This window comes from Homo sapiens, chromosome 14 (assembly GCF_000001405.40).
Source record: "Homo sapiens chromosome 14, GRCh38.p14 Primary Assembly".
NCBI lineage: Eukaryota > Metazoa > Chordata > Mammalia > Primates > Hominidae > Homo > Homo sapiens.
Window position 1 is genome coordinate 66,609,857 of NC_000014.9, and position 23,823 is coordinate 66,633,679.

At 37.6% G+C, this 23,823-nt stretch overlaps 1 protein-coding gene across 20 annotated transcripts in view, besides 1 other annotated feature; it reads left to right on the top strand.

The window, feature by feature from the left end:
- The window catches only part of GPHN (gephyrin), a 1,227,209-nt gene that overhangs the window by 101,710 nt on the left and 1,101,676 nt on the right, over window positions 1-23,823 (top strand). The window lies entirely within an intron of this gene.
- Window positions 346-415: an enhancer, noted in NCBI's record as "active region_8570". NCBI's record gives its function as "activates an Ori minimal core promoter by ATAC-STARR-seq in GM12878 lymphoblastoid cells {active_cell/tissue: GM12878}" and the evidence as "EXISTENCE:reporter gene assay evidence [ECO:0000049][PMID:35858748]".

Genomic DNA, 23,823 nt, shown 5'->3' on the forward strand with positions numbered 1-23,823 from the left:
TCCTTGAATTGGTTTCACCTTTCTCGTAAAGCCATTGAACTTCCTTGTTATCTAGATTCTGAATTGTCTGTCATTTCAGTCATTTCAATCTGGTTAAGATCTATTGCTGGGGAGCTTCTGCACTCTTTTGGAAAGAAGAGGACAGTGACTTTTTGAATTGTTAGAGTTCTTTTGCTGATTCTTTTTCATCTGAGTGGGCTGGTGTTCCTTTAACTGTGGTATAAGTTGAGTATACTCAATTGGCTTCTTTTCTAAGTGTTTTCAGAGGGCCAAGACTCTGTACAGGATTTTTATTTGTGAGTAGATTCTTTCCCTGGGTTTCACAGATGATGTATATTGGCAGAATATTTTTGGTGTTGTAATTTGGTCTGTCAACCAGTAGATGGTGCTTAAGTATAATGGCCGATAGATAGGCTTTGGCTCTGACTTGTCGCTCTTTTGTATTTCAGCAAGTTTAGAGCACCGCTGTCTTCCCTAGGAGCCATTCAGTGGCAGGAACTAGCCCTCACATTCGGAAACCCCACACAGGTTTCCCAGTTTCCTCTCTCTTCACCCTCAGTGTCTATGTTGCCTTTGAACTCTTGGTGTTTCCTCTCTGAAGATTTGTTCAAAGTATGTTTGTTTACTTGATATTTTGGTCTCTCTTGGTGGCATAGGCACTTCCTGGCTGTGTCTAGTCAGCCATCTTGTCTTCTGTGCCCTCTCAAATCCTTCTTCAAGCCAGTATTTTTGTTATTGCCATTGAAATAGACAATAATTGTCCTAATGTTAAGGAAAAATTTATTCAGTGATACTTGTTAAAGTACATTAAGGAAGACTTTATTTAGGGTCATTGCGATAGATGTAAGGACCACTGACATGGGATTTTACAGTGAGGGAGAGAGACTCACAATACAACATGGGCAAGTGGGAATTTATAGCCAATGAGAAGGGATGGAGAGTTAGTAGATAGAAAATTACTAAAAGGAAATATCAGACTTAAAAGGTGATTCTGGCTAAACTCACCTAGAAGGATTTTTTTCTGAAGACAGGCCAAGATAATCAGACATCTCCTGGGGATGGTGGGGAATGAAGAATGCAATTAGATATCCAGGGTGATCAGTTATCAATGTTTTTGCTGTACTGACTTAGCAGAGTTTTTTGCTAAAACTGAATTTTACAAGAAAGTGCACAGATGGGCCTAGGAGAAGGCTTGGTCAAGCAAATAATCTTCATCAGTTATAAAGCCCTTCACATAATAAAAGCGGCTTTAATAATTGTGAATTTAACCTTGCATAGAAATTTTTCAAATAAGAAACTAATATACTTCAAGAATATGCAGGGGATTTTTTACTAGTAATTTAGTTACATGTTTCCCTCTTTTTGTTCGTTAGAAGTTACATGAGGGCAGTTATGACTTCTGTTCACTAAGGTTAATTCCATTGAATACATACAAAGCATTATTTTCAAGGCCAAGGCCATTGGTAGTGGTGGTAGGGGCTGGAACAAAGAAATTTATTAGATAAGATACCCTTAACACTGATATACGTCCATTTTGTTTTAAGAGCATTTCTGTAGAGACAAAAAAGCATAGAAAATATACTCATTGCTATTTGGAGTACTTTGTGGTAAATCTGGAATCCTTGCTTTTGCTTTTATAGTAGTTCCATAACAAGGTTATTTTTAAAACATCATCCAAAACTGAAATTTCAACATTAATTGGATTGGCACTTCTAGTTGTAAATCAGCACTTCCAGTCATAAATCTTGAGGAAATTGGTATCAGACCTCATGATATTCTGTTTTCAGTAGGTTAGTTTTCTCAGCATTATTTTGTGCTAAGGAGAAGAATCTCTGTGTTTTAAACCTTTTCAAAGCTATGTAACTTGATATTTGCTCTTTTAAAATCTTAGCCATCAAATACCAGCTCTACTGCCTGTGTCCGTGGCTTTCCATTCTCCCTATCATTGCCCTGTTAGGGCATCATTATCAGTTAGAGAGACTTGTATTGCTTCCATACTATTCTTCACTGCTAGATGAAAGTTTCTAAAGTTTAGCTCTTATCCTGTCATTACAAACTTGAATATGTAGAATAATTCCCCATTGACTAATGTGTTTTCTGTGGCCTAACATTTCTATCCTTTTTGTGTGATTTCATCCCCCATCTACTTTTTTAGTTTTATATTCCATCGTTCTTTTTTCTTCGCCTAATACTTAAACTGTTCTCTAAATAGCCCAACACCAATATGTGTATTTATCATTTTCTTTACATTGTTTTATTTCTCTGAAATGGCCTTTCTTCAGTTTTGCATGCCTAAACTCTACCAAATGAGCCCAATTGTAATGACTTTTCCATGAAGGCCTTCAAACCAAGTTATCACTTGTTTTTCTTTGCTTTTATTATTTTTTTTAACTTTTAAAAATGTTTTCTTCTAACTTCTTTTTAATTTTTTTGTATTTATTTATTTATTGCCCTCAAACATTCTCCTATCCAGTTATTGTTCTTTTATAAAGCTCATCTCTCCTTCCCTCCCACATAGTTGCTCTGCATACTTTCTACTCCTCTTATTTAATTTTTTGTTTTGGAAAATTTAGGGACTATACAAAATAAACACAATGAAGTTTATAGTATGATGTATCACCATGTACCCATCACTCAGAAACAAGTTATCGTTATGACATTCTTGTTTCGTTTTTGCATTCCTCCACTTCTCACCATCCACTCAGTCATTGGTAATTCTTTAAGATAAAATTTACATAATTCAAATTCACAAATCTGAGCTGGACAATTACGACAATTAAGTAAACACATGAAACCCAATCCCCCTTTCAAAGTATAGATAGAATGTTTCTTTCTCTCCAGAAACTTTCTATTGCCTCTTTCCAGTCAGTCTTCCCACCCTCATAGGACGGCTTTAACTTTTCTTCACCTTTTGTTTTACCTTTCTTGTTCTTTCCATGTAAATGGAATTACACTCTGTGTAAGTCTTCTTTTGCTCAACATGTTTCTGAGATTTATCTCTTATTATTGCTTGGAACAATAGTCCATTCCATTTTATTACTTAGTACTATTCCATTCTGTGACTGTTTTATAATTTGTATATCCATTTGGTTTATGGACTTTTTGATTATTTTCAGTTTTTAGCTATTATGAGTAAAGCTGCTGTGAATATATACATGTAAGCCTTTTTGTGGATATTACTGATTCTTGTTATTCACTCTAGTTATGTTCTGTAAAGTCACCGTGGACACTGAATTATTGAATACTGAACCATTGCTTCTAGGGGAAATATAGGGTTAGGTTCTTGTGATCCTCTGGTCACAACATTTTTGTGAACTGATCAACATATAATTTTGTTTTATGTGTGTTTCTGTTTAAAGGCACCTTATTTACTATATATTGTTGTTTCATTAACATTGAATTCACAGCCAACAGCACTAGAACTGATGTCTGAATAAACTTTATCTAAAATGTATTTTCTCCTTAAGGCACACCACAGCCTTCTTGCACTCAGGAATACTACACAGCACTTCAGTATTCTTCATGGCACCATTCTACACAACAAAATCACCAACAAAATGCATCACAACTTGAAAAACATGGCAAAAAATAGATCATGAAAAGGACGCTTGTTTACAGTATGATTGCCAAAACAAGAGAGAGTATTGGTATGTTCCACATCAGCTGAGAATGTACCTGTCTGCTGACTCAAATTTTTGCTGCTCCGTACACATCTACAAATTATTGTGAAAGAGCTTCAAGTATTGATTTTGGGGTTACTAACAAATTTTAGTTAGGAGGTGAATTCACAAATGTGCAATCTGTGAATAATGAAGATTGTATATGTTCTTATTTTTCTTGGATAGATATTAGTATTCACAAATGTGCAATCTGTGAATAATGAAGATTGTATATGTTCTTATTTTTCTTGGATAAATATTAGTATAATTGATGGGTTAAATAGCATCCATACTTTATAAGATACTGCCAAGCCTTTTTCTAATTGTAGTTGCACCATTTTAAATTCTTATTATTAATGCATAAGCATTCCAGTTGTTTCATATATTCATCAACATTTGATATTATCAGTCTTTCATTTTACTCATTGTAGCACTCATTTGATTTTTCCTTGCTGTAGTTATGTGTTTATGTCTTATCTCTCCCGGCTGGAAATTTTTTGGCGGCAGTATATAATTTGTATTTGTATTTGCCAAACTAATATTTTGGAGAGATACTATACCTTTGTTGTTATGTGCACAAACGTTGGAGCTAGAATGCCTGTGGTCAAAGCTCAACTCTCCCACTTACAAATTTTGAGGCCGTAGATAATGAAAATAACATAACAGTAAAATAACTTTTTATAACTATATTAATTTGGGTCTCTCAACAAACAATTATTATTAGTAGTTTGGAAATCAAGCCTTTTTGAGGTTAGATAGCTTGTCCCAGATCAAACGAGTAAGAGGTACCAGAACAAGATTTCAAATTCAGGTCTAACTTACTCCAAAGCCAGTGCTCTTAACTACTGCACAATACAGTATTGCCGCCTAAATCCCACTTTAAAACCTACCATATGTCATTAAATTAATGCTCATCATCCTCTATTAAGATGTAAATGATATTGAATTAATTTAAAACTTATTCACTTATTGTAATAGATTATATACTTTTTGCTTTTCTACATGCAAAATGATGTTATTTGATATTAATAGTAATTATATTCTTTCACTCCAAAACTTTAGCTTTTTTTTTTTTTTGCCTATTGTGATGTCTAGCACCACCAGTTCAAATTTGAATAGAAATGATAATAGTGCATATTTTTTGTCTCGTTTCCAATTTAAAAGGGAAAGTTTTTAATATTTCATGATTAAACTTCAAGATGTTTTATGTATTCTTTTTTATGATTTTTTTCTTTATTTCTTGTAAAAAAATGGGATACATATGCAGAACCTGCAGATTTGTTACATAGGTATACATGTGCCATGGTGGTTTGCTGCACATATTGACCCATCCTCTAAGTTCCTTCCCCTAACCGCTCATCACCCAACAGGTCCTGGTGTTTGTTATTCTCCTCTCTGGGTCCATGTGTTCTCACTGTTCAACTCCCACTTATGAGTGAGAACGTGCAGTGTTTGGTTTCTGTTCCTGTGTTAGTTTGCTGATAATTATGGCTTCCAGCTTCATTCATGTCCCTGCAAAAGACATGATCTCATTCTTTTTTATGGCTGCATAGTGTTCCATGGTGTATACGTATCACATTTTCTTTATCCAGTCTATCATTGGCATTTGGGTTGGTTCCGTGTCTTTGCTATTGTAAATAGTGCTGCAATAAACATACCTGTGCATGTGTCTTTATAGTAGAATGATTTATAATCCTTTGGGTATATACCCAGTGATGGGATTGCTGGGTCAAATGGTATTTCTGGTTCTAGATCCTTGAGAAATGGCCATACTGCCTTCCACAATGGTTGAACTGATTTACATTCCCACCAGCAGAGTAAAAGCGTTCCTATTTCTCCACAGCCTCGCCAGCATCTATTGTTTCTTGACTTTTTAATAATTGCCGTTCTGACTGGCATGAGATGGTATCTCATTGTGGTTTTGATTTGCATTTCTCTGATGGTCAGTGGTGTTGAGCTTTTTTTTTTTTTTTTGTATGTTTGTTGGCCATGTAAATGTCTTCTTTTGAGAAGTGTCTGTTCATATCTTTTGCCTACTTTTTGATGGGGTTATTTTTTTCTTGTAAATTTGTTTAAGTTCCTTGTAGATTCTGGATATTAGACCTTTGTCCAATGTGTAGATTGCAAAAATTTTCTCCCATTCTGTAGGTTGCCTATTCATTCTGATGATAGTTTCTTTTGCTGTGCAGAAGCTCTTTAGTTTAATTAGATCCCATTTGTCAATTTTGATTTTTGTTGCAGTTGCTTTTGGCATTTTCATCATGAAGTCTTTGCCCATGCCTGTGTCCTGAATGATATTGCCTAGGTTTTCTTGTAGGTTTTTTTTTTATGGTTTTGGGTTTTACATTTAAGTCTTTAATCCATCTTGAGTTAATTTTTGTGTAAGGTGTAAGGAAGGGTCCAGTTTCAGTTTTCTGCATATGGCTAGCCTTTTTCCCAGGACCATTTATTGAATAGGGAATCCTTTCCCCATTGCTTGTTTTTGTCAGGTTTGTTGAAGATCAGATGGTTGTAGATGTGTGGTGTTATTTCTGAGATCTCTGTTCTGTTCCATATATGCCTGTTTTGGTACCAGTACCATGCTGTTTTGATTACTGTAGTATAGCTTGAACTCAAGTAGTATGATGCCTCCAGCTTTGTTCTTTTTGCTCAGGATTGTCTTGGCTATATGGGTTCTTCTTTGATTCCATATGAAATTTAAAGATTTTCTAATTCTATGAAGAATGTCAATGATAGTTTGATGGGAATAACATTGAATCTATAAATTACTTCGGGCAGTCTGTCCTTTCGGGTTTTCAGCATTTTTTCATTGATTCTTTCTCATCTTTGTGAGTTTGTCCAGTTTGATCTTTGAGGCTGCTGACCCATGGATGGGTCAGCTGTTGTTGTTGCTTTCTGTTTCTTTGTGTTTTGTTGTTGTTGTTGTTGTTGTTGTTTCAGTTGTCAGGTCCCTCTTCTGTAGGGCCACTGCAATTTGCTGGGGGTTCACTTCAGGCCCTATACATGTGGTTTGCTCCCGTGCCTGGAGATGTCACTCAAGGAGGCTGCAGAACAGCAAAGATGGGTGCCTGCTCCTTCTTCTGGGATCTCTGACCTTGAGGGGCACCAGCCTATGCCAGTAGGATTGCTCCTGTATAGGGTGTCTGACAACCCCTGTTGGAGGGTCTCACCCAGTTAGGGGCATGGGGAACAGGACCCCTTTTTTTTTTAGACGGAGTCTCGCTATGTTGTCACCAGGCTGGAGTGCAGTGGTGCCATCTTGGCTCACTGCAACCTCTGCCTCCCAGGTTCAAGCAATTCTTCTGCCGCAGTCTCCCAAGTAGCTGGGATTACAAGCGTGTGCCACCACGCCCAGCTAATTTTTGTATTTTTAGTAGAGACAGGGTTTCACCATGTTGGCCAGAATGGTCTTGATCTCCTGACCTCGTGATCTGCCTGCCTCGGCCTCCCAAAGTGCTGGGATTACAGGCGTGAGCCACCATCTGCGCCCGGCTGAACAGGACCCATTTAACGAAGCACTTTGACTGTCCATTGGTGGAGGGGTTATGCTTTACTTGGGGGAAGCACGTTGTCTGGGCTTCCCGGATTCCTCAGAACCACCAGGAGGAAAGGCTAAGTTTGCTGGTCTGCAGAGACTGCTGCCACCCTTTTCTCTAGGGGCTCAGGCCCCTACCCCAAGGAGCTGAAATGGCTTAGACAGCAGACAGCTGTAGCTGTGGTGCTGGTTGCCCCTCCTGTAGGGAGCTCAGTAGGCTTCAGCAGATTCCAGCTGAAAGGCTATTGAGAATCTGCAGAGCTCTGGGGTTGGGACGCTAGGGCCCAGTGGCATGGGTTCGCAAGTTGGATCTTCTGATCCATGGGTTGCGCAGTTCTGTGGAAAAACCACGGTTTCCCCAGCTGGGTGGAATGCTCACTCACTGCCTCCCTTGGCTATGGGGAGGGTGTTCCCCTGCCCCTGTGGCTCTCAGGTGGGCTGCCATACCACACTGTTCTTCCTTCCTCTTCATGGACCACACAAGCTTTCTGGTCAGTTCTGATGAGATAACCTGGATACCTTAATTGCTGGTGAGGGATTCACAGTCTTATTATGATTCTTTTCAATGGGAGCCTCCGAACATGGCTGTTTCTACTCTGCCATCTAGATAGTCTTAATCAGATTAAGGAATTTCCCTTTTTCCTAGGTCGCTGAGAGTTTTTTTTCATAAATGGATATTGAATTTTATTATTTTTTTAATTATTGAAATTATAGTTTATTTTCTTCTTTGAAAGAGAAATACATGTGTAGTGAATTACATTGATTGCATTCTTGAAATATTAAACCTTCCATGTATTCATTTCAATCACTTAGCTGAGATATATTTTGTAATAACTGGCTTTAATGTGCTAATTTTGTGCTTGGGACTTTCACATAAGTGATTATGAAAGAGATTATCTTCTAATTTTGTTTTTGGCTTGTGTTGATATCAAGGTTATTTTGGGAGGGCTAACATTTTTCTGTTTTCTGGAAGAGTTTCTAAAAGCTTGGTTTTATTTCTTCAGTATATATAACTGGTGGTATTTTTATTCTTTTCAATCTTACATTTTTTTCTTGTGTTATTGTAGTGGCTAGGATCTCTAGTACAATATTGAATAGAAGTGGTTTGAGTGAATATCCTTGGTTAGTTGAGAATTATTAGGATGATAGCCTTCAGTACTGTAATGTCATAAGCATTTTAAGTGCTAGGTGTTATTTATTGGCTACTTTTATTCATAAAAGTTCCACATGTTGTCCAGGCTGGTCTCGAACTCCTGACCTCAGGTGATCCACCTGTGTCTACCTCCCAAAGTGCTAGGATTACTGGTGTGAGCTACTGCGCCCGGCCGAGTTTATTTTTTAATCATACATTTGTGTTGAATTTTTAAATCAAATTTATCTATTGAAAAGGTTATATAGTTTTATCCATCAGTCTGTGTAGAGATGGTAAAATGTTAATCCAATATTGCATTTGAGGGATAGTATCCTTTCTGTATATTGCTGTATTCATTTTCTGTTTTTAAAAGGATTTTTGCATCTCTACTCATGGAAAATACTGGTCAGGGTCTATACTTCTGTTTTCATTTAATGTCCTTGGTCATTTGGTTTCAGGATTAGCTCACTTCATAAAGTAAGTTGAGAATTTAAATAGTTGACAGAGTTTACCAGTCATATTATCTGTGGCTAGAATCCTGGGTTGGAGTGTGTTATTTATGTTTCTGTTGGTGGTGGGAGGGTAGACATGACATGCAATAAACGGCACATTTTAAATTTATGGTTTTATGTATTATTCATTGTGAAATTGTAACTACATGGAAGATGGTGAACCTATCCATCACACTCTACAAGTTTCCCCTCAATTTTTTTGTGATTCTGGGTAATCTTTCCCTTTTGTTCTCCCTTATCTCCATCTATCACCAAACTGTATTTTCTTTTTCCCATAATGATCAGTTTGCATTTTCTAGAGCTTTATGTAAATAGATAGTTACAAGAGAAAGTCATTTTTTTCTGGCTTCCTTCACTCAGCGTAAGTATTTGGAGGTTTTTCATATAAAGTTTATTCTTTTTTGTTGTTCATTCATATTCCATTATATGAATATATTCACTTGATCATAGACATTTGGTTGTTTCTAGCTTTTGGCTATTACAAATAAAATGTACATGTGTAAGTCTTTGTATAGACATTTACTTTTTTATTCATTTCAGTAAATACCTGTGAATGAAATGGCTAGATCATTGGGTAGCTGTATGTTTAACTTTTTAAGAAACTGCTAAATTGTTTCCCAAAGTGGTTGTTCTCATTAACAGTGTAGGAAGGTTCAGTTTTTTCAGATCCTTACCCACATTTGTTATGTTTGGTCTTTTAAATTTTAACCACTGTAAAAGGTATCTAGTTGTATCTTATTATAATTTTAATTTGCATTTTCCTGTTGACTAGTAATGTTGAAGATATTCTCAGGTTTTTTTTTTTTTACCATATGTATATCTTTTTTTTGGTGAACTGTCTATTCAAACGTTTTATCCTTTTATGAAATTGAGTTTTTTCCTTATTGTTGAGATTTGAGAGTTCTTTATATATTCAGAATGCAAGTAAGACATATGCTTGTAAATATTTACACACAGTCTTTGACATCTTTTCATTCTCATAGCAGTGTCTTTCACATCTATCTTGAGACTTATTCCTAAGCATTTTTATATTTTACATGTTATTTTAATTGGCATTTTAAAATGTTTCATTTAATTTTATTTTCCATTTGTTCATTGGTAGTATGTAGAAATACAATTGATTTTTGTATATTGACCTGGTATTCTGCAACTATGCTAAACATACTTATAGTTCTAGCAGCTTTTGTGTAGTTTTGGGGAGCAAATAGGGTCCTGATAGAGAGATGGCTTTATGGAAGAAGTACAAGGACCCTTACGGGCCAGGTTAGGAGATGTAAGGAGATTCCTCAGGATTTGATCGCCAGTGTTTTTGTCTAAGTGTTGGATATATGGAGTGGGTGTGGAGGGAATTACCCCACTGCCCTACCTGTTAATGAATGTTTAGAGGTTAGGCAGAGGGTTCAGGCAAGCTGCCTAAATGGTTCTCGGTTGTTGTTCACACTTACCCATGTGATAGAAAAAGTGAAGGTTATCCTGACAGTGTGGTAATAAGTCCTGTGCCTCTACTCAAAAGGCAGTATTGCTATGGCTGCATAAAGGATCCCTGAGGCTGAAGTAACATATGTCAGCAATGAGGATACAGGCCTTTAGGTAAACTAATGTATTAGTCCATTTTCAAACTGCTGATAAAGACATACCTGAGACTGGGCAATTTACAAAAGAAAGAGATTTAATGGACTTACAGTTTGATATGGCTGGAGAGGCCTCACAATGATGGCAGAAGGCAAGGAGGAGCAAGTCACATGGATCATGGCAGGCAAAGAGTGAACCTGTGTAGAAAAACTCCCATTTTTAAAACCATCAGACCTCATGAGAACTCATTCATTATCATGAGAACAGCACGGGAAATACCTTCCTCCCCAATAATTCTGTCACCTCCCACCAGGTTCTTCCCATGACACGTGGGAATTGTAGGAGTTACAATTCAAGATGAGATTTGGCAGAGGGGACACAGCCAAACCATATCAGTCTATCTCTGACCGCTCTCAAATCTCATATCCTCACATTTCAAAACCAGTCATGCCTTCCCAACAGTCCCCCAAAGTTTTAACTCATTTCAGCTTTAACTCAAAAGTCCACAGTCCAAAGTCTCACCTGAGACAAGGCAAGTCCCTTCTGCCTATAAGCCTGTAAAATCAGAAGCAACTTAGTTACTTCCTAGATACAATGGAGGTACAGGCATTGGGTAAATACAACCATTCCAAATGGGAGAAATTGGCCAAAACAAAGGGGCTACAGGCCCCATGCCAGTCCCAAATCCAGCAGGGCTATCAAATCTTTTTTTTTGAGAGAGAGAGTCTAACTCTGTCGCCCAGGCTGGAGTGCACTGGCGTGATCTTGGCTCACTGCAAGCTCTGCCTCCCGGGTTCACGCCATTCTCCTGCCTCAGCCTCCTGAGCAGCTGGGACTACAAGCATCCACCACCAAGCCCAGCCAATTTTTTTTTTTTTTTTTGTATTTTTAGTAGAGATGGGGTTTCACTGTGTTAGCCAGGGTGGTCTCGATTTCCTGACCTCATGATCCGCCTGCCTCGGCCTCCCAAAGTGCTGGGATTACAGGCATGAGCCACTGCACCCAGCCAATTTTTTTTTTTCGTATTTGTAGTAGAGATGGGATTTCACCATGTTAGCCAGGATGGTCTCTATCTCCTGACCTCGTGATCCACCTGCCTCGGCCTCCCAAAGTGCTGGGATTACAGATGTGAGCCACAGTGCCTGGCCAGGGCTGTCAAATCTTTTTTTTTTTTTTGAGACAGAGTCTCCCTCTGTCGCCCAGGCTAGAGTGCAATGGCACGATCTCAGCTCACTGCCAGCTCCACCCCCTGGGTTCACACCATTCTCCTGCCTCAGTCTCCTGAGTAGCTGGGACTACAGGCACCCGCCACCATGCCCAGCTAATTTTTTGTATTTTAGTAGAGACGGGGTTTCACCATGTTAGCCAGGATGGTCTCGATCTCCTGACCTTGTGATCCACCGCCTCGGCCTCCCAAAATGCTGGGATTACAGGCGTGAGCCACCGCACCCAGCCGGCTGTGAAATCTTAAAGCTCCAAAATGATCTCCTTTGACTCCATATCTCATGTCCGGGTCATGCTGATGCAAGAGGTGGGTTCTCATGGTCTGGGCAGCTCCACCCCTGTGTCTCTGCAGGATACAGCCTCCATCCCAGCTGCTTTCATTGGCTAGTAGTGACTGTCTGTGGCTTTTCCAGGCACACAGTGCTGTCGGTGGATCTGCCATTATGGGGTCTGGAGGATGGTGGCCCTTTCTCACAGTTCCACTAGGTTGGAGCCCCAGTAGGAACTCCATGTGGGTGATTCAACCCCACATTTCTTTTCTGCACTGCCCTAGCAGAGGTTCTTCATGAGCGCCCCACCCCTGCAGCAAACTTCTGCCTGGACATCCAGGTATTTACGTACATCCTGTGAAATCCAGGTGGAGGCTCCCAAACCTCAGTTCTTGACTTCTATGCACTTGCAGGCTCAACACCACATGAAAGCTGCCAAGGCCTGGGGCTTGAACCCTCTGAACGCATGGCCTGAGCTTATACTGGCCCCTTTCAGTCATGGCTGGAGCAGCTGGGATGCAGGGCACCACCTTTCTGGACTGCACACACCATGGGGACCCTTGGCCCGGCCCACAAAACCATGTTTTCCTCCTAGGCCTTTGAGCCTGTGATGGGAGGGGCTGCCATGAAGACCTGTGACATGTCCTGGAGACATTTTCCCCATTGTCTAGGGGATTAACATTCAGCTCCTCATTACTTTTGCAAATTTCTGCATCCGGCTTGAATTTCTCCTCAGAAAATGGGATTTTCTTTTCTTTCGCATTGTCAGGCTACAAGTTTTCCAAACTTTTATGCTCTGTTTCCCTTTTAAAACTGAATGCCTTTAACAGCACCCAAGTCATGTCTTGAATGCTTTACTGCTTAGAAATTTCTTCCATCAGATACCCTAAATCATCTCTCTCAAGTTCAAAGTTCCACAGATCTCTGGGGCAGGGGCAAAAAGCTGCCAGTCTCTTTGCCAAAACATAGCAAGAGTCACCTTTGCTCCAGTTTCCAACAAGTTCCTCATCTCCTTGTGAGACCACCTCAGCCTGTACCTTTTTGTTCATATCACTATCAGCATTTTTGTCAAAGCCATTCAACAAATCTCTAGGAAGTTCCAAACTTTCCCAGATTTTCCTGTCTTCTTCTGAGCCCTCCAAACTGTCCCAATCTCTGCCTGTTATCCAGTTCCAAACTCGCTTCCACATTTTCATGTATGTTTTCAGCAGCACCCCATTCTACTGGTACCAATTTACTGTATTAATCCATTTTCATGCTGCTGATAAAGACATACCTGAGACTGGGCAATTTATAAAAGAAAGAGGTTTAATGGACTTACAGTTCTTCATGACTGGGGAGGCCTCACAATCATGGCAGAAGGCAAAGAGGAGCTTGTATGGCAGTGGACAAAGTCACCTCTTATATGGCAGTGGACAAAGAGAGAACTTGTGCAGGGAAACTCCCATTTTTAAAACAATCAGATTTCATGAGACTCATTCACTATAATGAGGACAGCACACGAAAGACCCACCCCCATAATTCAATCACCTCCGACCAGGTTCCTCCCAAGACATGTGGGAATTGTAGGAGTTACAATTGAGGATGAGATTTGGGTGGGGACACAGCCAAACCATATCAGCCAGCAACCTTGGAAGTTAGTTTGCTTGATCATGTGACTGGCTGCTCAAAGCTGAAAGCAAATACAAAGCCTACTAAAAATACAAAAATTGGCTGGGTGTGGTGATGTGCACCTGTAGTCCCAGTTACTTGGGATGCTGAGGCACGAGAATCACTTGAACCCAGGAGATGGAGGTTGCAATAAGCTGAGATTGTGCCACTGTGCTCCAGCCTGTGTGTTGGAGTGAGACTCTGTTTCAAAAAAAAAAAAAAAAAAAAAGCAAAGTCATGCTTATTGGTGTATGTGCCACTTTCTCAGTTTGTGTCCTCTCATCCTGCCATCCCCCCTTTACCCTGACATCAGCTGCCTCAAGGAGAAAACTAAGTGCCCTGGAGAAATTTTAAAGAAGAGGAGGGACCTGAACTTTCATGGCTTTATTGGATACGGGTTACCAGATCACCATCCTTGGTCCCATGTGGGAAGGGAAAGCTGAACCCAGGGCTTGCCAAAAGGGCTGAAGATGAAGGGGAAGAGCTACCGTAATATTTCACCTCCTTGAGCGAGGTTGCTTTCCAAATATCAGAAGCTACATGAGGGAGGAAACAACTGCAGGGTTTGGACACCAACCCTGGAGCGAGCAGCCAAAGGAGAGAAAAAGTCTACACAGTGCTCCTCATGTCCTTATCGTCCTTTTCCACTCCCAGTACTCTCTGCTCCCCAGATTTTCAGCCTGGAGATATTACAGGCATTTTGTGGCCATTGTAAGCTGTCACATACCAACACTCTGTAGATTGTCAAATTTATGAATGTACCATTTCATAATTTCTGGAAACATGTTTTCTCTTAGTACAGTTCATTAATATGGCATAAGACATGTTTACTGGCAGACTCAAATATCTTTATTTCCTCTGTAATAAGAAGAACTAAATTACTATAGCCCTTGACATGTGCCTGTGAGACACCTTGGTCCGTGTTTTAGTATAGGATCTGTATCTGAATTCAACTGCTAGATTTGAGGAAAGTTTACCAAGGGATATGATGTTAAATTGACCTTGTGGGTAAAGCCCTTGGGCTGATTTCATGTACAAAGTTTACTCTATTAAATAAACGGTTGGGTCTGGTTCTCTGATAGCTTAAGTGAAAAGCTAATGGTGTCCACTGGGTGGCAGCCACCCTCCAGCTCCAAGGACAGTCTAAAAGATTAACTGGTAAGGGCTGATCCAGCACAATGGGCTGAATTAAAAGCCATTTTCTTGGACCAGGGGTTGAGAGACTTCAGTCTGTGTGCCAAATTTGGCTACAATCTGTTTTTCTATTGCTCTTAGCTTGGGAGGATTTTTACATTTTTTAAAGCATTGGGGGAAAAAGAATACACACTTGAGACTGTATGGGGCTTGCAAAGCCAAAACTATTTACTATCTGCTCTTTTCAGAAAACAAGTTTTCTAACTCCTACCTTAGACAGTATTCCTAAGGATTAAGTTATGATATCTTTTTCCTGAGTGTTGGGCTCTTGCCAGTTACTTCACTTGGGTAGTAATAGTAGATTACAGAGACACCCCTCCATGGAGACATAAGCTATGAACTGCCATTTGGAAGGGCTGGGTCACTCATGTTGATGCCTAGAGTAAGTGCCTGTTTTTACAATTAGTCTGAATGGAATCAAGCTGCTGGTCAAGCCTGCACTTGTTAGTGCCTTTCAATCTGGAAACTTGTCTTTTTTTTTCTTCTTCTTCTTTTTGAGGCAGGGTCTTGCCCTGTCACCAGGTTGCAGTGCCGTGGTACGAGATGGTCACTATAGCCTTGACCTCCCAGTCTCAAGCAATCCTCTCTCCTTAGCCTCCCATGTAACTGGAACTACAAACACGCACCACCACACCTAATTTTATAATTTTTTTGTAGAGACAGGGTCTCACTATGTTGCCAAGGGTCTCGAACTCCTGGGCTCAAGTGATCCTCCTGCCTTGGTCTCCCAGAGTGCTAGGATTACACTCATGGGCCACCATGCCCGGCCATTGTCTTTCATTTTTGGAAAATTTTCATATATTATTTACTTGATCAGCCCCTCCCTTCTTTTTTCTTGTTTTGTTTTTCTGGAATTTCTGTTTGGATGTTAGAGTTTCTCAATTTCCCCCCCAATTTTCTTAACTTTTCTTTCCTATTGTCTGCCTTTTGTCCTACTTCTTGGTAGTTTCTTTTCCCTACCTTTGTTTTCAAACCTTCTAATACAGTTTATGTTTCATTTACATTTTTAAATTCCAAGAATTCTTCCTCCAATGCCTGTTTGTAATAATACCCTGTTCTTATGTCAAGTACACAATTTGTCAGTCTCCATCTAATAAAATCACAGTGTGGTTTTTTAAAGACTATTCTGTTTCTTGCATTGTTTATTCCCAAATCCTTTTTGTTTGTTACTGCGTTTAGTTTAATCTGTGCTATTTATGATGCAAGCTTTCTTCACATATCTTGTGATTCTTATATGCAGATTTATATTTAATAGGGAGGCAATAAATATGAGTTGGCTTTTCTATGTAATAGGACAGGCCTTATAACCCAGTGGACTTCATTGTAGGGTTATTAGGTAGGTATCCAGAGGTACTCATAAATGTCACTATCATAGGGCATTTTCTCTTGGGCTGTTTAGTTCCTTCTGAGAAAAACTTTTAACTTCCTACCTGAATGGTGTAAACTTGTCTGGCAGTGTTATTTTAGCCATGTGATGGAGAAGTCTGGGATTCTCACCATTTAGTATGTTAACTTTCAATTAATACCCCTGTTTTTCATAAGGTGCTTCTCCTCTACCATCTATTATGCTTAGATAATTATAGAGAACCAGAATCTGTTTAGCAAGGGCTGAAATTTATGTTCTATCTTATAGATAGGAAAAGTAAATGGAGCCTAAAATGCAGATATAAGTGCATAAAAGTTATTCTGTTAATTCTTTTCTCTATATTAAATATGATGTTTCTCCAAATTTTGATGTTTTATTTGAAGCCATAATAAACTTTGTTCTAAGGCATTCACATTCATTTAAGTAATTGGATTTATTTTATGAAACATTCTCATTCTGATCAAAATTTTCACCGAAGGATGAAGATTTAACAGAAGTGCTAATAGTAATATATTTGAGTTGAACTTTAGGTAACATGTTAGAAAGAAGATAACTTAATATTTTGAGGATATTTTCCATTTAAATAAAAACAGCAAGAACCAATGTATTAAATTGAATGCTGTGGTTCTAGTTATTGTTTTTTGGATGTATTTAATAATTTCTAATGTCTTTTTGGCTTAACACTGGACCTCACAGTTAGGTAATGAGGATGGAAGTAGTATATTTGCCTTTCTATGAATGCCATACCATAAGATTTTTCAGGATATTTTTGTAGTTAAGAAGATAGCATATGAGTAGAATGATAGATAATTCAATTTGAGGTACTTGTAACTGAATTGGATTCATGTCTACTGGAGATGAGATTCTCATGGAAAATCAACAGCTGATAATGTAAATGAAGAACTTTGTGATCCTACAAATTATAAAACAGTGCAGTTATCATTTAGGTTTTAGGTTTTGACTGCCAGAGATTTGCTTTATAGAGATTTGCTTTATTGAGATTTGCTTTATTGGGAATGCCTATATTTCAGTGTTAGAATTATTATAATTGACTATAGATCTTTTATATAAAATATTCTCATTTGGGGGAATAGAGGATAGATAGCAATATATGACTCTTACCTTAAAATTGGTATAAATCTAATGAATACCCATATAATTACTATTGAACTTAAGAAATAAAACATTACAGATAAAATGGAAGTCATCTGTGAATCTCTTACCTATACCATTCACCTTTATCATTCTCTTCCCAGTAGTAACCCTTATTCTGAATTTGTTGTTTTATATTCCCTGCTTGTTTCACAATTTTACTCTTTTTCTCACATCCAGAATAAATGTAGTCTTGTTTTACGTATCTTAAACTATATTTGAATAGTATCAAACTGGAACATGCTTCCCCCCGCCCCCAACATTGTTTCTCAGATACATTCGTTGATGGATCTAGTTCTTTATTTCAACTGTTGAAGAGTATTTCATTGCATGAATGTATCATAATTTATTATTAATTCCTCTATTGCTTGTTTCATAATTTTTACTCTTGTGAACAGTGCTTCAAAGAATCATGAATAGGTGAAAATTTCCTTGAGGTATGTATCTAGGTATAGAATGGCCAGCATATAGTATATAAACTTTTAAACATTTTACTAATTTTTTTGAATCGTTCTTTAAAGTAGTCCCATCAGTTTACTGTTTCATGAGAAATGTATGAGGTTTCACAAAGACTTGATATTGTTAGACTTAAAGTACTGATAATCTGATGTACGTAGATTATATTACAGTGAATTATTTTGCGTTTTTTGGTATTAGGATATTTTTAAAATGAAGAGCAAATTATTTGTTCTCTCTTTGTCTGCTTTCACTAATAATGGTGTGCTTCTAATTACCTAGTCTGTTTTCCCATTAGTTCATAGTTTTATTAAAGAAATCTCTCTTCTACCTACTGTTAGATACACCACCCCATTATATAAAGTTCATTTGGTTAGGTTTATTTTGTGCTAAGCAACTAAATAGAAAATGGAATGTTTTTATTGTCTTTTTGTGCCCTAAAAAGAGTCAGTCAGCTCTTGGTAGGGGAAAGAATTAAGCCTGTTGTCTAGGTGATAACAGTAGAATAATGCAGTGAGGGAGTGAAAAATCAGGGATCTAAGTTGCAGAAAATTCAGTTACTAACAGCAATTAATTGAATAAAGAAAATGCAAAGTTATGAAAAACACCAGTACTTTGATTATATTATCCTTGTAGAATACAGTCATTCATTGCTTAATGATGGGGATGTGTTCTGAGAAATGCATTGTTAGGCAATTTTGTCATTTACAAACATCATGAAATATGCTTACACAAACCTAGGTGGTATAGCCTACTACCCACCTAGGCTGTATGGCATAGGCTATTGCTGTCAGGCTACAAACTATACAGGATGTTACTGTACTGAATGAATATTGTAGGCAGTTATAACACAATGGCAAATATTTATATATCTAAACATAGAAAAATGCTGTAAATATGTGGTATAAAAGATAAAAAGTGATATAAGGCACTTACCATGAATGGAGCTTGCAGGACTGGAGGTTGCTTCGGGTAGGTGAGTGAGTGAATGGTGAAGGCCTAGGACTTTACCATACACCACTGTAGAGTTTTTAAACAATGTATACTTAACTACACTAATTATATTAAAAGATATTTTTCTTTCTTCAATAATAAATTTACTTTAGCTTACTTTAATTTTTTTAGTTTATAAACTTCTTGACTCTTTTGTAATAATGCTTAGCTTAAAACATAAACATATTGTACAAAAATGTTTTATTTCTGGCAGGCATGTGGCTCACAGCTGCAATCCCAGTGCTTTGGGAGGGTGAAGCAGGAAGATTGCTTAATCCCAGGAGTTTAAAACCAGCATGGGGAAGATAATTACACCTTATCTATACAAAAAAATAATTTAAAAAATGAGCCAGGTGTGTTGGTGTACCCCTATAGTCCCAGCCACTCTGGAGGCTAAGGAGGAAAGATTGCTTGAGCACAGGAGTTTCAGGTTGCAGTGAACTCTGATCTCACCACTGCACTCCATCCAGCCTGGGAGACAGAGTAAGACCCCATCTCAAAAAAAAATACATATATATATATATAAATATATATTTATATACATATATAAATATGTATATAAATATATATTTATATACATATATAAATATGTATATAAATATATATATACATATATAAATATGTATATAAATATATATTTATATACATATATAAATATGTATATAAATATAAAACACACGTGTGTGTTTCTTATCTTCAGTCTGTAAGTTTCTTTTCTATTTTATCCTTTTACTTTGTAAACTTCTTTGTTAAAAATTAAGACACAAACATTCATTAGTCTAGGCCTACACAGGGTCAGGATCATCAGTATCACTGTCTTCCACCTCCTTATCTTGTCTCACTAAATAACACCTGTGGAGCTGTCATCTTCTATGTTAACAACACCTTTTTCTGAAATACTGCCTGAAGGAACTGCCTGAGGCTGTTTTAGTGTCAACTTTTTTTTAATAAGTAGGGGTACACCCTAAAATAATGATGTAAAGCATAGTATAGTAAATGCAAAAACCAGTAACATAATCATTTATTATCATTATCAAGTGTTATGTAGTGTACATAATTGTGCTATAGTTTTTTTATATGATTGCCACTGCAGTAGGTTTGTTTATCCCAGCATCACCACAGTCATGTAGGAATGCCTTTTACTGCTACTTTATGATGGCTATGACATCACTATTTGATAGGAATTTTTCAGCTCCATTATAATGTTATGGACTCACCATCATATATGCAGTTTATTATTGACTGAAATATCATTATGCAGTGCATGACTTCAATTATACTCTATTTAATCTCCCTTCTAGGTCCTGATTTTTAAGGTAATTTGAAATCATTTTTTCTGCCTTTCTCTGTTACTATCTGAATTGCTTCCTAAGAAGATTAAATAAGAGTAAGGACTTTTTCCTGGATGTTAACCGTAACATTAGCATGTTATTTTAATTAAATTGGTTTATTAAATATAATGACATAGTTAAATATTGATGGGGGAAGGGAGTAGTCTGTATTACATCCAGAGGAGGGATGGTTCTACTGGAACTTACTGGACAGCTAGATGACAATATGAAGATCTAAGGAATGGGGAAGAGAAGAAAGGGATAAGATAAGAGATGCTGAAAGGTATTCTTAATAGACTTAAGTATTTTACTTGGGTTATGCTCTTTTCTATAATTTTCACTGGCTCATTAGAAGTAGAAAAGTTTATAAGTAGAGAATTTAATAGAAGAAAGGCAGGTAATGTTGTTGAGATGTGTGGGGTCAGATCTATCCTGAAATAAAAAGAATCTGATCACATTTCCTTAGTGATTTAAAATAGAAAAACAGGGTGATAGAAATAAATGTCAGAAGCAGAAATTGGAAGAAATAAAGAATGGCAAGTTTAATGTTGGCAATTGGTCATCAGAATCCTATTGTTGTTGTTGTTATTTTTTTTTTAAGATGGAGTCGCCCAGGCTGTGGTGCAGTGGCGCGATCTCAGCTCACTGGAAGCTCCACCTCCCTGGTTCATGCCATTCTCCTGCATCAGTCTCCTGAGTAGCTGGGACTACAGGTGCCCATCACCACACCTGGCTAATTTTTTGTATTTTTTAGTGGAAACGGAGTTTCACTGTGTTAGCCAGGATGGTCTCGATCTCCTGACCTCGTGATCCGCCTGCCTCGGCCTCCCAAAGTGCTGAGATTACAGGCGTGAGCCACTGCGCCCAGCCATCAGAATCCTATTTTAACTTATATTTGTAGATTTTCTTGTCATGCCAGTTAATTACATAGTCTGTTTCTGGTATTTCCTATGTTGACTTGATCATAGCTGTCACTAACAAATACTTTTATCTTCGACCTATTTAATGTGTTTTTTTTTTCTTACATTTTATGGAGTGTTTACATGATCCCCTCTTACTTAACTTTAGTGGACTGTCAGGATTATTGTCCCATGCCCATTTTGCCTGTAGTTTTTCTTTAATTGCAGTCGTTCTTTTTTTTTGTTTTTGTTTTTGTTTGTTTTTTTTGAGACGGAGTCTTGCTCTGTCGCCCAGGCTGGAGTGCAGTGGTGCTGTCGGCTCACTGTAACCTCCACCTCTTGGGTTCAAGCGAGTCTTCGTCCTCAGCCTCCTGAGTAGCTGGGATAACAGGCACTCACCACCATGCCTGGCTAATTTTTGTATTTTCAATAGAGACGAGGTTTCACCATGTTGGTCGGGCTGGTCTTGAACTCCTGACCTCATGATCCACCCACCTCGGCCTCCCAAAGTGCTGGGATTACAGGCATGAGCCACTGCGCCCGGCCGGCACAGTCGTCCTTTTTAACAGTGTTTATTTTAGCTCAAAACAAATGTATTTATTATTCTTGAGTTTCCTTTATTATTGCTGAATAACTTCAAGTAATTTTTGTTTTTTCCTCACTAGGTCTTTCTTTGCAAATATTACTTTTAGATAAGTTTGTATGAGTCTTAAAAAGCTCTTTCTATGTATAATTAAAACAAGATAGCACCTTTATTTTGACTATGTAAATAATTGTATCTCATAGATTCAAAGCTAGCTTGTGTTTGCAGAAGACAGTATTGCCATAGTGAAGTAATTTTAAAGTAAAATTTGACAACAACTAGACTAGGTCTGTAGGAGGATTTTTTATTGTATTAAGGCTCATACTGTGCTAAGTATAATATTTTTTATTTTTTGATGAATTATATTAGAAACTAATTTTTATTTGTAGTTCTACTTTATATATTTTCTATATTAGAGAAATTTCCCACTAAAGAATCTTCATTAACATTTTTCTGCAAGTGATTTCCGAATGTTTCTAACCCTAAACAGTTTCCTATCATTGCTTCTAAACATTTTTTTCTTTTTAAATCTTGCTATTGCTTCGAATTCAGGTTGTTTGAACTCTTTATTATCCTTCTCTTCTGCTACCTTGTTCCCAATCCAACTACCCTACCTAATTTCCTATTCGTATCATTGGTATTATTATTTTTCTGGTCAATAAAATAAATGTTTGTTGAAATTTACATTTTAATCCTGCTAGCTCTGAGATCTTTGGGAAATAATGTCTTCAAGTTTCATTATCTTGTCTATAAAGAGGGGAGAGCAATGTTTCATGACATGAGATTGGCAAAATGATTAGATTAAATGAGATAGTGTAAGTGATGCACTTGGTACAGTGCCTGTCTCTTAGCAAATGATAGTTCCCCTGTAGGTATATGGGATCAAAAGCTCATAGTTGTTTTTGACACCTTTCTTCTCTAAACCCTCTGTATTGCATTTTCCATCAAATTTTGATAATCCCAGCTTTATAATGTTCACATATATTTGATTTTATTGTATTCTCTTAGCTGAAATATTGATCCAGGCGCAGATTTGCTGTACATTAATGTAAAGGTTGACTTCCTTACAGATTTGTCTCCATACTTTCCTTTCTTACAATACATTCTTTTTTTTTTTTTTTTTTTTTTGGGATGGAGTTTTGCCCTGTCACCCAGGCAGAGTGCAGTGGTGTGCTCTCGGCTCACTGCAACCTCCTCCTCCCAGGTTCAAGTGATTCTTCTGCCTCAGCCTCCTGAGTAGCTGGGACTGCAGGTCTGCGCCACCACACCCTGCTAATTTTTGTATTTTTAGTAGAGACGGGGTTTCACCTTGTTGGCCAGGCTGGTCTCCAACTTCTGACCTCGTGATCCGCCTGCCTGGGCCTACCAAAGTGCTGGAATTACAGGTGTGAGCCACCGCACCCGGCCCCTTATAATACATTCTGCGTATTCCAGTCAGATGACTTTTTCTAACATTCCACGTTTGTTATGCCATGTATCTGCTAAGAAAGAACAACAACAAAAAAGGAATTGTTCCTTATTGTCTTACTTCACTTAGTGGAACCATCCATTCCATCCAGTTTGGTCTGCTTACTCAAAGACTATTACCATTCTTCTTTCTGTGCCCTTGCTCAGGCCAGGCCTTCTTCACAACGTCATTCGAAGTGTACAATGTTTCTTGCACTTATTTCCAATTTAATTGTGTACTGCCTTGTGTAGTTCTTATATTACTGTCTTCTGTCAATATTAAATTTAATCATATACTGTCACATCATAGTTTTGTTTTATTTTCTACTGTAATTTAACTTTCTGATTAGGCCATTTTCTTTTCTAAGGTATAAATTCTCCTATACTTCTTATCTTCTTTGAATTCATTCTGTTATTCTATGTATGTACTTCAATTTCTTATAAGAAAAACAGCACAATTTGAGTTTGAAATTTACTTTTAAAATTATAATTAATGAACATAGTACTTTATTAAGGAATCAACAAAAAGTGTTTTATTCAACTGGCAGGCAAACTTTTCTATTTCCATAAATTAGTTTTACCAAACTTCAACCTTATATAAATGGAATTTTGCATTTTACTGTATACTCTTTCTGTTTGGCTTCATTTTAGTTTTTTGAGATTTATCTATATTGTGCTGTATAAAATAAGTACTGCATTCTTTTTTATTGCTGAATAGTATTCCAGTGTATGAGGATTTTACAATTTTATACATTCTCAGTTTAAGGGACAGCTAGATTTTTAATGATTTTTTGCTGTTATTAATAGGGTTGCAGTGAATATGCCTGTACATATATTTTTGGGTACGTAT